Below are 16210 nucleotides of genomic sequence, written 5' to 3' on the forward strand. Positions count from 1 at the left end.
AGCAAGCAAACAGACTAACAAAACAAAATACTTCAGTGTGCATTCTCTGTTTCTACCACCACAATCTAGACTAAGTAGCTATGTTCTCTTTTTAATAGCTCTAATACAGCATAAAGGCTGGCAAAATGTCAAAAAATTTTTGAAAACTAATACATGTAATTATTGCCATTATTAATAAGGGCAATCTGGATCTAAAATCCTCATTTATCCCAATTGTGATAACTAGGAGAAGGACGTAAAAAATAAAATGTAGACACATCTTACAATTTGCAGCTTGCATAGTGGACGTTAATAGACACTATTACCAATCACAATATGGAAAAAGGGCTAAGAGAACTTGATTTCCTATTGAAACAGAAACATCAAAATGCTAATTACATAATTGCTAGTAAATAGATATTTAAAAGATGCCAGAAAAATCATCAAGGCAATATGACAAAAGCTATAAATTGGGAAAATGTCTTGTTATCAATTTGTATACTTTTAAACATCCCTTAATTACAGTAGTTCAGGAATTTTGCTATTTTCCATTTGAATACTCCATATCAAGTAAGCTACACAGACAAGATGTGCCCCTCTTGGTTGACAGGTATGTCTTTCAGGCCTGAATTAAAAAATCTATTTTCATTTATTATAGTCATGCAACCAAAAAGCTTTCCTCTCTGATTTCTCAAGCAGCAGCAATTTAGGAATGACATAGCTAGAAGCAACAAGAAATAAACATCAACAGCCTTAAAGGGAGAGAGGTATGCTAAGCAGTAAAAGCAGAATGAAAAATGAATAGGAGGCACAGATGCTCTCACAGCAGAGCAACCTCGGGGCATTTAGTGTGAGGCAAATGCTCAGTCCCTCACTTACAGGTGGAATAAAGAGTGTCATCATTTTGTGGTAAGTTGAAGAATGGTCCCCAAAAGATGTCCACGTCTAAATTTCCAGAATTTCTGAATATGTTACCTTACATGGAAAAAATACTTTGAAGATGTGATTAAAGATTTTGAGATGAGGATAATATTTTGGATTAGCTTGGTGGGCCCAAAGAAATCACAGGGGTCTTCACCAAGAGGGAGGCAGAAGAGTTAGAGAAGGAGAAGTGAGGATGAAAAAGAGAGATTTGAAGATGCTACACTGCTGGCTTTGAGTATTAAGGAAGAAGCCACAAGCCAAGGAATGCAGGTGGCCTCTAGAAGCTGTAAAAAGGCATGGAAATGGCTTCTGCCCTACAGCCTTCAGAAAGATTGCCCCCCGAACAACACCTTGATTTCAGGACTCTGAACTTCAAAACCATGAACAAATTAATTGGTGTTACTTTAAGCCACTAAATGTATATTGATTTGTTACAACAGCAAGAGGAAACTAATACAATACAACATTATATTTAAGTGGCACATCTTGATTCACCAATTTATAATGAAAAATTCACATTTCAAGTTCATATTATAATAATTCCAGTTCCCTGTCTTGCTGATTATGAAAATCTATTTTTCTCTTTCAATCTCCTTTTTCCATATCAGGGCAAAGAATCCCAGAGTCAGTGATTACTTAGTCTAAAAGCATCAGATCTTGTCACTAACACTCCTGCCGAAGACACTAGAATGTCTGGTCAGTTTGCTTAAAGGGAACATTATCCACAGCTGCTGCTACTGTTACGGCCACACATTCATGCAGCAATAATAGGAAGTCCAGAGCCTCAAATCAAGATCTAGTCAACTGCAGAAACACAGAGGGTCATGGCCACCATCCAAAGTAACAGTGTTTCCTCAGGATACAGGAGAAAATGTCTGGCTCCTGAGCATTACTCTCAGCTAGGGGTGCTTCATGACAGGGTAAACCTGGGTTCCCAGTGCTCCAGTTCTGCAGTGATACAGCTCTTTCAGCCTGTGGACATGTGGGTATTCTTCCAGGCAAATTCACAGCATCCAGGCAGCTAGATTCGGAAGGGACATGATCTGAGCCAAAGGCAGGTCCCAAACCAGCTTTTCCTACAGTAGATCTGATCTTAGTATAGAGCCTGGAGCCCCAAATCAAGGTGTCCCCCACTTAACGGTCTATTTCCTTTTGGAGACCCCAGTGCCTTCTTCTGGTTGGCCTCAGTCAGGATCACTCAGTCCAATGGATGTGTTTAACTAACTCGGAGCTTGAAAATAAAGATCTTTAGCCCTCCCTTCTTTGAAGATACTCCTCCCTAGTATCCCTTAGTAAAACACAGTGGTCTTCTGCCCCAACTACCCAAGAGTGAGAGCCCTGGGCCTGCCTCAGGGTCATCCTAGAGACTTATTCTAAATATATAGGATTTACTATTAAATGTTCTTTCTCTTTGAGAAAAGTTATAAATTTCTATCTCATGTAGCTTCTCACTTCACATATTTGATTTAATAATGATGACCTTGAATCATTAAAATAGTTATGGTCTGACTTACTGAGGGTCTAACCGGTCAGTAAACCAATGAGTGGCTTGTGTCTTTGATAACCATGGTTTGGAATAAAGCCAAACTTTTTGATGTCCCAGCATCAAACTTTTTCAAGGAGCCTGTATTAATCAGTTCTCATGCTGCTAATAAAGACATACTGGAGGCGGGGAGGAGCCAAGATGGCTGAATAGGAACAGCTCCGGTCTACCTCCCAGCTTGAGCAACGCAGAAGACAGGTGATTTCTGCGTTTCCATCTGAGGTACCGGGTTCATCTCACAAGGGAGTGCCAGACAGTGGGCGCAGGTCAGTGGGTGCGTGCACCGTGCGCAAGCCAAAGCAGGGCGAGGCATTGCCTCACTTGGGAAGCGCAAGGGGTCAGGGAGTTCCCTTTCCTAGTCAAAGAAAGGGGTGACGGACAGCACCTGGAAAATCGGGTCACTCCCACCCGAATACTGCGCTTTTCCGACGGGCTTAAAAAACGGCGCACCACGAGATTATATCCCGCACCTGGCTCGGAGGGTCCTATGCCCAAGGAGTCTCGCTGATTGCTAGCACAGCAGTCTGAGATCAAACTGCAAGGCGGCAGCGAGGCTGGGGGAGGGGCGCCTGCCATTGCCCAGGCTTGATTAGGTAAACAAAGCAGCCAGGAAGCTCAAGCTGGGTGGAGCCCACCACAGCTCAAGGAGACCTGCCTGCCTCTGTAGGCTCCACCTCTGGGGGCAGGGCACAGACAAACAAAAAGACAGCAGTAACTTCTGCAGACTTAAATGTCTCTGTCTGACAGCTTTGAAGAGAGCAGTGGTTCTCCCAGTACGCAGCTGGAGATCTGAGAACGGGCAGACTGCCTCCTCAAGTGGGCCTCTGACCCCTGACCCCTGAGCAGCCTAACTGGGAGGCACCCCCAGCAGGGGCACACTGACACCTCACACGGCTGGGTATTCCAACAGACCTGCAGCTGAGGGTCCTGTCTGTTAGAAGGAAAACTAACAAACAGAAAGGACATCCACACCGAAAACCCATCTGTACATCACCATCATCAAAGACCAAAAGTAGATAAAACCACAAAGATGGGAAAAAAACAGAACAGAAAAACTGGAAACTCTAAAAAGCAGAGGGCCTCTCCTCCTCCAAAGGAACACAGCTCCTCACCAGCAACGGAACAAAGCTGGATGGAGAATGACTTTGATGAGCTGAGAGAAGAAGGCTTCAGACGATCAAATTACTCTGAGCTACGGGAGGACATTCAAACCAAAGGCAAAGAAGTTGAAAACTTTGAAAAAAATTTAGAAGAATGTATAACTAGAATAACTGATATAGAGAAGTGCTTAAAGGAGCTGATGGAGCTGAAAACCAAGGCTCGAGAACTACATGAAGAATGCAGAAGCCTCAGGAGCCGATGTGATCAACTGGAAGAAAGGGTATCAGCAATGGAAGATGAAATGAATGAAATGAAGTGAGAAGGGAAGTTTAGAGAAAAAAGAATAAAAAGAAATGAGCAAAGCCTCCAAGAAATATGGGACTATGTGAAAAGACCAAATCTACATCTGATTGATATACCTGAAAGTGATAGGGAGAACGGAACCAAGTTGGAAAACACTCTGCAGGATATTATCCAGGAGAACTTCCCCAATCTAGCAAGGCAGGCCAACGTTCAGATTCAGGAAATACAGAGAACGCCACAAAGATACTCCTCGAGAAGAGCAACTCCAAGACACATAATTGTCAGATTCACCAAAGTTGAAATGAAGGAAAAAATGTTAAGGGCAGCCAGAGAGAAAGGTCAGGTTACCCTCAAAGGGAAGCCCATCAGACTAACAGCGGATCTCTCGGCAGAAACCCTACAAGCCAGAAGAGAGTGGGGGCCAATATTCAACATTCTTAAAGAAAAGAATTTTCAATCCAGAATTTCATATCCAGCCAAACTAAGCTTCATAAGTGAAGGAGAAATAAAATACTTTACAGACAAGCAAATGCTGAGAGATTTTGTCACCACCAGGCCTGCCTAAAAGAGCTCCTGAAGGAAGCACTAAATATGGAAGGGAACAACCGGTACCAGCTGCTGCAAAATCATGCCAAAATGTAAAGACCATCGAGACTAGGAAGAAACTGCATCAACTAATGAGCAAAATAACCAGCTAACATCATAATGACAGGATCAAACTCACACATAACACTATTAACTTTAAATGTAAATGGACTAAATGCTCCAATTAAAAGACACAGACTGGCAAATTGGATAAAGAGTCAAGACCCATCAGTGTGCTGTATTCAGGAAACCCATCTCACGTGCAGAAACACACATAGGCTCAAAATAAAAGGAGCACCAAGATTCATAAAGCAAGTCCTGAGTGACCTACAAAGAGACTTAGACTCCCACACATTAATAATGGGAGACTTTAACACCCCACTGTCAACATTAGACAGATCAACAAGACAAAAAATCAACAAGGATACCCAGGAATTGAACTCAGCTCTGCACCAAGCAGACCTAATAGACATCTACAGAACTCTCCACTCCAAATCAACAGAATATACATTTTTTTCAGCACCACACCACACCTATTCCAAAATTGACCACATACTTGGAAGTAAAGCTCTCCTCAGCAAATGTAAAAGAACAGAAATTATAACAAACTATCTCTCAGACCACAGTGCAATCAAACTAGAACTCAGGATTAAGAATCTCACTCAAAACCGCTCAACTACATGGAAACTGAACAACCTGCTCCTGAATGACTACTGGGTACATAACGAAATGAAGGCAGAAATAAAGATGTTCTTTGAAACCAACGAGAACAAAGACACAACATACCAGAATATCTGGGACGCATTCAAAGCAGTGTGTAGAGGGAAATTTATAGCACTAAATGCCCACAAGAGAAAACAGGAAAGATCCAAAATTGACACCCTAACATCACAATTAAAAGAACTAGAAAAGCAAGAGCAAACACATTCAAAAGCTAGCAGAAGGCAAGAAATAACTAAAATCAGAGCAGAACTGAAGGAAATAGAGACACAAAAAACCCTTCAAAAAATTAATGAATCCAGGAGCTGGTTTTTTGAAGGGATCAACAAAATTGATAGACCGCTAGCAAGAATAATAAAGAAAAAAAGAGAGAAGAATCAAATAGACGCAATAAAAAATGATAAAGGGGATATCACCACCGATCCCACAGAAATACAAACTACCATCAGGGAATACTACAAACACCTCTACGCAAATAAACTAGAAAATCTAGAAGAAATGGATAAATTCCTCGACACATACACCCTCCCAAGACTAAACCAGGAAGAAGTTGAATCTCTGAATACACCAATAACAGGCTCTGAAATTGTGGCAATAATCAATAGCTTACCAACCAAAAGAGTCCAGGACCAGATGGATTCACAGCCGAATTCTACCAGAGGTACAAGGAGGAACTGGTACCATTCCTTCTGAAACTATTCCAATCAATAGAAAAAGAGGGAATCCTCTCTAACTCATTTTATGAGGCCAGCATCATTCTGATACCAAAGCCAGGCAGAGACACAACAAAAAAAGAGAATTTTAGACCAATATCCTTGATGAACATTGATGCAAAAATCCTCAGTAAAATACTGGCAAAACGAATCCAGCAGCACATCAAAAAGCTTATCCACCATGATCAAGTGGGCTTCATCCCTGGGATGCAAGGCTGGGTCAATATACACAAATCAATAAATGTAATCCAGCATATAAACAGAGCCAAAGACAAAAACCACATGATTATCTCAACAGATGCAGAAAAAGCCTTTGACATAATTCAACAACCCTTCATGCTAAAAACTCTCAATAAGTTAGGTATTGATGGGATGTATTTCAAAATAATAAGAGCTATCTATGACAAACCCACAGCTAATATCATACTGAATGGGCAAAAACTGGAAGCATTCCCTTTGAAAACTGGCACAAGACAGGGATGCCCTCTCTCACCACTCCTATTCAACATAGTGTTGGAAGTTCTGGCCAGGGCAATTAGGCAGGAGAAGGAAATAAAGGGTATTCAATTAGGAAAAGAGGAAGTCAAATTGTCCCTGTTTGCAGATGACATGACTGTATATCTAGAAAACCCCATTGTCTCAGCCCAAAATCTCCTTAAGCTGATAAGCAACTTCAGCAAAGTCTCAGGATACAAAATCAATGTGCAAAAATCACAAGGATTCTTATACACCAACAACAGACAAACAGAGAGCCAAATCATGAGTGAACTCCCATTCACAATTGCTTCAAAGAGAATAAAATACCTAGGAATCCAACTTACAAGGGATGTGAAGGACCTCTTCAAGGAGAACTACAAACCACTGCTCAAGGAAATAAAAGAGGATACAAAGAAATGGAAGAACATTCCATGCTCATGGGTAGGAAGAATCAATATCGTGAAAATGGCCATACTGCCCAAGGTAATTTACAGTTTCAATGCCATCCCCATCAAGCTACCAATGCCTTTCTTCACAGAATTGGAAAAAACTACTTTAAAGTTCATATGGAACCAAAAAAGAGCCCGCATCACCAAGTCAATCCTAAGCCAAAAGAACAAAGCTGGAGGCATCACACTACCTGACTTCAAACTATACTACAAGGCTACAGTAACCAAAACAGCATGGTACTGGTACCAAAACAGAGATATAGATCAATGGAACAGAACAGAGCCCTCAGAAATAACGCCGCATATCTACAACTATCTGATCTTTGACAAACCTGAGAAAAACAAGCAATGGGGAAAGGATTCCCTATTTAATAAATGGTGCTGGGAAAACTGGCTAGCTATATGTAGAAAGCTGAAACTGGATCCCTTCCTTACACCTTATACAAAAATCAATTCAAGATGGATTAAAGACTTAAACGTTAGACCTAAAACCATAAAAACCCTAGAAGAAAACCTAGGCAATACCATTCAGGACATAGGCATGGGCAAGGACTTCATGTCTAAAACACCAAAAGCAATGGCAACAAAAGCCAAAATTGACAAATGGGATCTAATTAAACTAAAGAGCTTCTGCACAGCAAAAGAAACTACCATCAGAGTGAACAGGCAACCTACAAAATGGGAGAAAATTTTTGCAACCTACTCATCTGACAAAGGGCTAATATCCAGAATCTACAATGAACTCAAACAAATTTACAAGAAAAAAACAAACAACCCCATCAAAAAGTGGGTGAAGGACATGAACAGACACTTCTCAAAAGAAGACATTTATGCAGCCAAAAAACACATGAAAAAATGCTCATCATCACTGGCCATCAGAGAAATGCAAATCAAAACCACAATGAGATACCATCTCACACCAGTTAGAGTGGCAATCATTAAAAAGTCAGGAAACAACAGGTGCTGGAGAGGATGTGGAGAAATAGGAACACTTTTACACTGTTGGTGGGACTGTAAACTAGTTCAACCATTGTGGAAGTCAGTGTGGCGATTCCTCAGGGATCTAGAACTGGAAATACCATTTGACCCAGCCATCCCATTACTGGGTATATACCCAAATGACTATAAATCATGCTGCTATAGAGACACATGCACATGTATGTTTATTGTGGCATTATTCACAATAGCAAAGACTTGGAACCAACTCAAATGTCCAACAATGATAGACTGGATTAAGAAAATGTGGCACATATACACCATGGAATACTATGCAGCCATAAAAAATGATGAGTTCATGTCCTTTGTAGGGACATGGATGAAATTGGAAATCATCATTCTCAGTAAACTATCGCAAGAACAAAAAACCAAACACCACATATTCTCACTCATAGGTGGGAATTGAACAATGAGATCACATGGACATAGGAAGGGGAATATCACACTCTGGGTACTGTTGTGGGGTGGGGGGAGGGGGGAGTGATAGTACTGGGAGATATACCTAATGCTAGATGACGAGTTAGTGGGTGCAGCGCACCAGCATGTCACATGTATACATATGTAACTAACCTGGCACAATGTGCACATGTACCCTAAAACTTAAAAGTATAATAATAATAAAAGAAAAAAAAAAAAGAAAGGAACAGAGCCTGAGAAATCGCTGTTAGAATGATTAGTGCATATATTGCCCAAACCTTTAATGGTTTTTATGGCTGTCCTTCAGAACGCCCCACCTTAAAAAAGTCTTTATTAAACTTAGAGCATTTAAGTGTAAAAAAAAAAACAAAAAAAAACAAGACAAACAAAAAAAAAACACATACTCGAGACTGGGTAATTCATAAAGAAAAAAAGGATTTAATGGACCCTCAATTCCACATGGCTGGGAGGTTTCACAATTATGGCAGAAGACAAAGGAGAAAGTCACATCTTACATGGCGGCAGGCCAGAGAGCTTGTGCAGGGGAACTCCCATTTATAAAACCATCAGATCTTGTGAGACTTATTCACTATCACAAGAACAGCACGGGAAAGACCTGCCCCCATGATTCAATTACCTCCCACTGGGTCCCTCCCACAACACGTGGGAATTATGAGAGCTACAATTCAAGATGAGATTTGGGTGGGGACACAGCCAAATTATATCAGAGCCCATACAAACAATTGTTGGGAACTATTCTGGACCAGTCAGATTTTATCAAAATTCCCATGTCTCCTTTGACTCTACTAATTTGGATCTGAGAATGAACTATATACAGTTTTGTTCATATCTGAGGGCTCTTGGCATTGAGAAGATGAAAACTCTTGGCCATGAACTGTTAGCCATTGAGACTGCCTTGTGGGTTAAAAGCCTCATGTTACATTCCTGTTACATACATTTAAAAAGTTGTTCCTGCTCCCCTTGGGTGGCTGATAAATATGTAAAGAGGCTGGGACAGGATTTTCTATTCTAGGGTGCTCTTGCCTCATGTCCAGCCCCTTCCATCCAGGCAAGTCTGTCTGTGGATTTATCAAGAGCCTGGGACAGGGATGGCTGCATAATTTTTAGGATTTCGGGCAAAATGAAAATGTAAGGCCTTCTGTTCAAATATCAGGGTGAGTAAAGTGTCATTAAAGGTATAAATGAAGCATTTTTCTTTCTTCTGGAGCCCATCATGGTGTTTCTAAATGCTATTTAAAGTCATTTAAGCAAAAGAAAGTCAGAATTTTTAATTATTAACATGAATTTAAGTATACATCTTTATATTGTATGATGCCCATTTTAAATGTAAATATTTACACATTAACTCATAAGTGGAACTACAAAAATAGTCCCAAATAATGCTATCCTGGCTTGTCACTGGAAGATGCTTTAAACTGGCCAGAAAAGACAAACACAGGCCAGGCTTAAGGAGGTTGGAAATAGGAAGAAAGTGTCTCCTAGGTATGGAGGCTGTCAAGGGGGTGCCACTGAGCACAAGGTTTCTCCCAGGGTGTATACAGTCCCTCCCAGTTGCCTGTGAGCCCCACCACATAATGTGGGACACCTGTGCCCTCACTCAGGTCTGATGGCTCCCAGATTCCCCCTCTTGCCTACAGCTGGACCAGTGTGTCATGCCTTGGCCTATGGTGGGGTCTAGGGACGTACATCCAGGTCTCTCTCCTTCCCACAACATGCCACACCAATCCATAGAAGATTGGCAAAACCCAAAGATCTCCATGCTAGGATGTGCTTGGTGTTTGGATTAAGGATAGGTGAGAGGGGACTTTAGCCAAGACATGACCTCTGGCTGGCCAGACACACCACGGGGCAAGTGGGAGCAGGGACAGCACCTCCGTGCCCACACTGAGATGTCATGGGGCGCACACAGCTGACCCCAGCCATTTTTATACAAGTGCCTAGAGCCCAAGAGGGGAAGGAGGATGGCAGCAGTCAGGGCAAGGAGGAGAAAGCCAGGTATAATTAGGGTGCCAAGGTTTGGAGGGATGGGAGTCTGAGAATCAATATGGGGGAAGTGGGAGGTGGGGAAGAGGAGAGTGGGGAGGTGGTAAGAATCCACACTGCACACAAGTCTAAACTTGAACCCCTTGGTGTATGCCCCATGGTCCCATTTGCCTTCACTTACAAACCACAAATTATTAAAAAAAAATGATTAAGAATCTCAATGTGGTGGCCACACACTAAGTGTGGGAATCTTCTGAGTGGGACCCTGAGCAACTGCGCTGGTTGCATGCTGACATGATTTTGGTCTGTGTCCCCACCCAAATCTCATGCGGAATTGTCATCTCCATTGTTGGAGGTGGGGCCTAGTGGGAAGTGATTAAATCATGGGGGCAGATTTCCCCCTCAGTGCTGGTCTCTTGATAGCGAGTGAGTGCCTGCAAGATCTGGTTGTTTCAAAGTCTGTGGCACCTCCCACCACCCCTTCCTGTTCCAGGCCATATGAAGATGCCTGCTTCAGCTTTGCCTTCTGCCTTGAGTAAAAGTTCCCTGAGGCCTCCCTAGCCATGATTCCTGTACAGCCTGCAGAACCAGGAGCCAATTAAACCTCTTTTCTTTATAAATTACCCCACTCACACATTTCCTGATAGCAGCGTGAGAATGAATACACAAGCCCATGAAGCCAGCCCTATCTAGGAGACCTGGTGCCTTTGCTCCTCCTATGCTCCTGAGCTGTCATCTATCATCCTTACTGTTGTCTTGTGAGTGATGTGAATTACTGTGCCCTTGCACAGCAGGATCTGTCTTTACTTTTCCTGGTTCCTAACTATGGATAGCTATCACACTCTTTCTCAGTATTATCACCACCACTGCCATGACTTAGCCCTTGTTTTGGCTTCCTACTCTAGTAGGAAAATTTAGATATTACTGAAGAAAATCAGTTAAGTTTAGAAAAATTTATATTTTTCTAAAAAGAACCATTTATATTTCCTTTTCCTTTTCTATACATCCTCAATTCATATTCTTTGCTAATTTTCTATGATTGTTAGTCTTTCGTTATGGATTTTTAGAAACTATTTTGTCAACTACACTTTTGTTTCTGATTTAATTTATAAAATATTTCTTTACAGCTTTGTGTTTACTTTTGACTTTACTTATGCTAGTTTTTATAATAAGGAATATTTTTTAAATTGTATAGAATCAAATTTATTAATCATTTTTATGTTCTGATTTTATTATACTCAATTACTCTTTAAAATTTTCTAATATTTTTTCACATAGACCAATGGAGCAGAATAGAGAACTCAGAAATAAGACCACTCATTGGGTGGGGTGCGGTGGCTCACGCCTGTAATCCCAGCACTTTGGGAGGCCGAGGCGGGGGGATCACGAGTTCAGGAGATTGAGACCATCCTGGCTAACACAGTGAAACCCTGTCTCTACTAAAAATACAAAAAATTAGCCAGGCGTGGTGGCGGGCGCCTGTAGTCCCAGCTACTCAGGAGGCTGAGGTAGGAGAATGGCGTGAACCCGGGAGGCGGAGCTTGCAGTGAGCCGAGATGGCACCACTGCACTCCAGCCTGGGTGACAGAGCAAGACTCTGTCTCAAAAAAAAAAAAAAAAAAAAAAAAGAACACATATCTACAACCACCTGATCTTCAACAACCTGACAAAAACAAGCAATTTTTATTCTTAGTGTTAATCTGTGTCCAATTTATAAATTATAATTTATCATAGTTATGTATGTATAGGGAAAAAATAGTGTATATGGGGTTGACACTATTCACAGTTTCAGGCATCCACTGGGGGTCTTGGAAAGTGTGTCCCACAGATGAGAGGGGACTATTGTAAATGTAATGTGGTGTCATGAGTAGAATTTTGGAACAGAAAAAGGATGTTAGGTAGAAACTAAGGGAATCTGAATAACATGTGAACATATAAACTTTAGTTGACACAATGTATCAATATTAGTTTATTAATTGTGACAAGTGTGTCATGCTAGTATAAGATGTTAATAATAAGAGTAACTGGTCTAAAAAATACAAAGAAAATCCAATCCAATTAAAAAATTGGAGAAAAAAACATGAAGAAACACTTCACCAAAAAAGATACACAGATAAAAAATAAACACATGTTCAACACCCTTGCCAATTAGGGAAATGCAAATTAAAAATGACAATGAGATATCATACACACGTGTCAGAACCACTAAAATAAAAAGTAGCTACAACAACAAATGCTGGGAAACATGCAGAAAAACTGAATCACTCATACATTTCTTGCAGAATGTAAGATGGTACAGCCCACTGAAAACAATTTTCTAAAATAAACATGCAACTACAGATGACTCAGCAATTGCATTCCTTCGCATTTACACCAGAAAAATAAAAATTACGTCTACACTTAAACCTGTGCATGAATGTTTGTAGCAGCATTGTTTGTAAGAGCCCCCAATGAAAAACAGTCCAGTTATCCTCTAATGTATAAATCTTAAATGTGGAGTTAAGTAGTACTCCACTCATACCATGGAGTACTACTGAGCAATACAAAGAAACAAATGATTAACACATACAAACATCTGAATGAATCTCTAGAGAATTGTGCCAAGAAAAAAAAGTCGACCACAAAATGTCACATGTTGCATGATTCCATTAATATGCCATTCTTGAATTGTCAAGATTGTAGAAACGGATGAGTGGCTGCCAGGCATTACAGAGGGGATTGGGATGGGAAGGAAGTGGATGTGGTTATGACACTATAGTATTAGAGATACTGGAGTGATGGAAAGTACCATGTATCCTGACTGCATCTATATGGATACTCTGGTTGTGATAGTGTACTATAGCTTTGTAAGATGTTACAATTGGAAACAAAGTAAAGAACATATGGGATCTCTGTATTATTTCTTAAAACAGCATGTGAATCTACAATATTTTAAAATAAAATGTTTAATTTAAAAATATGTGATGACAGTGCATTGGTAAGGGTATTTTTGTATATTTTTTCCAAGTTTTATTTAATTTTTAATTTTTAACTTTGTGAGTATATCATAGATGTATATGTTTATGGGGTCCAAGAGATGTTGTTGATCACACATACAATATGTCATAATCACATGAGGGTAAATGAGGTATCCATTACCTCAAGCATTTAACCTTTCTTTGTGTTCCAGATAATCCACCTATACTTTTATTTTAAAATGTAAAATAATTATTGTCTGCAGTCAACCTGTTGTGCTATCAAATACTAGATATTACTCATTCTATCTAACTATATTTTTATATCCATTAGCCATCCCCGCAGCATCCTCCCCACTGCCCTTCCCAGCCTCTAGTAAACATCCTTCTACTCTCTATGTTCATTAGTTCAATGGTTTTAATTTTTAGCTCCCATAATTAAGTAAGAATATGCAATGTTTGTCTTTCTGTACCTGGCTTATTTCACTTAACATAATGATCCCCGGCTTCATCCGTGTTGTTGCAAATGACAGACGTTTATTCTTTTTTTATGGCTGAATAATAACCCATTGTATATATGTATCACATTTTCTTTATCCATCCTTCTGTTGATGGACACTTAGGTTGCTTCCAAATCTTGGCTATTGTGAATAGTAAAGCAATAAACATGGGAGTGGAGATATCTCTTCGACATGCTGATTTCCTTTCTTTTGGGTACATACCCAGCAGCGGGATTGCTGGATCATATGGTAACTCTATTTTTAGTTTTTTTGAAGAACCTCCAAACTGATCTCCATAGTGGTTGTACTAATTTACATTCCCATCCATAGCATATGAGGATTCCCTTTTCTCCACGTCCTTGCTAGCATTTGTTATCACTTGTCTTTTGTATAAAAGCCATTTTAACTGGGGTGAGATGATATCTCATTGCAGTTTTGATTTGCATTTCTATAGTGATCAATGATGTTGAGCACCTTTTTATATGCCGGTTTGCTATTTTTATGTCTTCTTTTGAGAAACATCTATTCAGATCTTTGGCCCATTTTAAAAATTAGATTATTAGATTTTTTTCCCAAAGAGTTGTGTGAGCTCTTTGTATATACTTGTTATTAATCCCTTGTCAGATGGGTAGTTTGCAAGTATTTTCTCCCATTCCATGGGCTGTCTCTTCACTTAGTTGATTGTTATCTTTGTTGTGCAAAAGCTTTTTTAACTTGTTGTGATCCTATTTGTCTCTTTTTGCTTTGGTTGCCCATACCTGTGGGGTATTACTCAAGAAATCTTTGCCCACTCCTGTCTTTGAGAGTTTCCTGAATGATTGCTTTTAGTTTCATTTCAATTTTATCTATTTCTTCTCTGATCTTTATTATTTCTTTTATTCTACTAATTTTGGGGTTCATTTGTTCTTGCAGTTTTAGTTCTTGAAGATGCATCACTAGGCAGTTTATTTGAAGTTTTTCTTCTTTTCTGATGCAGGCACTTAGAGCTATACACTTAGAGCTGTACACTTTTCTCTTAGTACTGCTTTCACTATATCCCATATGTTTTCATGTGTTGTGTTATCATTTGTTGCAAGAATTTTTTTTTTAGATGAAGTCTTGCTCTGTCACCCAAGCTGGAGTGCAATGGTGCGATCTCGACTCACTGCAACCGCTGCCTCCTGGGTTCAAGTGATTCTCCTGCCTCCTCCCAAGTGGCTGGGACTACAGGCGTGTGCCACCATGCCTGGCTAATTTTTGTATTTTTAATACAGACAAAGTTTCATCATGTTGGCCAAGTTCAAGTTCTGTTCCAGACTCCTGACCTGTGATCCTCCCACCTCAGCCTCCCAAAGTATTGGGATTACAGGCATGAGCCACCACGCCCTGCCTTGTTGCAAGAAATGTTTTAATTTATTTCTTAATTTCTTCATAGGTCCACTGGTCACTTAGGAGCACATTGTTTAATTTCCATGTGTTTGTATAGTTTTTAAAATTCCTGTTATTGATTTCTAGTTTACTTCAGAAAATTATGGTCAAAAAATATACTTGATACAATTTCAATTTTTTTTGAATGTTTTAAGATTTGTTTTGTAGCCTAGCATATGGCCTAGCCCTAAGAGTAGTCCATGTGCTGAGGAGAAGAATGTGTATTCTGCAGCCATTTCATGAAATGTTCTGTAAGTATCCATTAGGTACATTTGGTCTCAAGTGCATATTAAGTCCAATGTTTCTTTGTTGATTTTCTGTCTGGATGATCTGCCCAGTGCTGAAAGTGTGGTATTGAAGTCTCCAGCTATTATTGTATTGGAGTCTATCTCATTCTATTGCTCTAATAATATTTGTGTTATATATCTGGGTGCTCCAGTGTTGGGTGCATATATATTTACAGTTGTTATATCCTCTTGCTTAATTCACCCTATCATTATACAATGATCTCCTATGTGTCTTTTTATAGTTTTGTCTTAAAATCTATTTTATCTGATACTTGTATAGCTATTTCTGCTCTTTTTTGGTTTCCATTGGCATGGAATAGCTTTTTCCATCCCTTTATTTTCAGTCTATGTGTGTATTTATAGGTGAAGAGTGTTTCTTGTAGGCAACAGATCATTGGGTCTTTTTTTTCCCCATCCATTCAGCTACTCCGTGTCTTTTAATTGGAGAGTTTAGTCTATTTACATTAATATTATTATTGATAAGTAAGGACTTACTCCTGCCATTTAGTTGCTTGTTTTCTGGTTGTTTTGTGGTCCTCTTTTCCCTCTTTCCTTCCTTCCCATCTTCCTTTTAGTGAAGGTGATTTTCTCTATCGGTATGCTTTCATTTCTTGCTTTTTATTTTTTATGTGTATGTTGTACAGTTTTTAGTTAGAGGTTACCTCGAGGCATGCAAATAATATCTTATAATCCATTATTTTAAACTACTGACAATTAAACATTGATTACATAAACTAACAAATAATTAAAGAGAAAACTAATAAAAACTCTACACTTGAAGTTTGTCCCCATGCTTTTTAGCTTTTTGTTGTTTTCATTTATATCTAATTGCACATTCTATTTTTTGAAAT

At 39.6% G+C, this 16210-nt stretch overlaps 1 long non-coding RNA gene across 2 annotated transcripts in view, besides 1 other annotated feature; it reads right to left on the reverse strand.

Moving 5' to 3' along the window:
• The window catches only part of NPSR1-AS1 (NPSR1 antisense RNA 1), a 487820-nt gene that overhangs the window by 164374 nt on the left and 307236 nt on the right, over positions 1-16210 (reverse strand). The window lies entirely within an intron of this gene.
• Positions 2850-3427: an enhancer, noted in NCBI's record as "OCT4-NANOG-H3K27ac-H3K4me1 hESC enhancer chr7:34553347-34553924 (GRCh37/hg19 assembly coordinates)". NCBI's record gives its function as "activates a minimal SCP1, AML or CMV promoter by ChIP-STARR-seq in primed H9 embryonic stem cells {active_cell/tissue: H9 hESC(primed)}" and the evidence as "EXISTENCE:reporter gene assay evidence [ECO:0000049][PMID:30033119]".

The sequence above is a fragment of the Homo sapiens genome, chromosome 7, assembly GCF_000001405.40.
Source record: "Homo sapiens chromosome 7, GRCh38.p14 Primary Assembly".
In the NCBI taxonomy this organism is placed as follows: domain Eukaryota; kingdom Metazoa; phylum Chordata; class Mammalia; order Primates; family Hominidae; genus Homo; species Homo sapiens.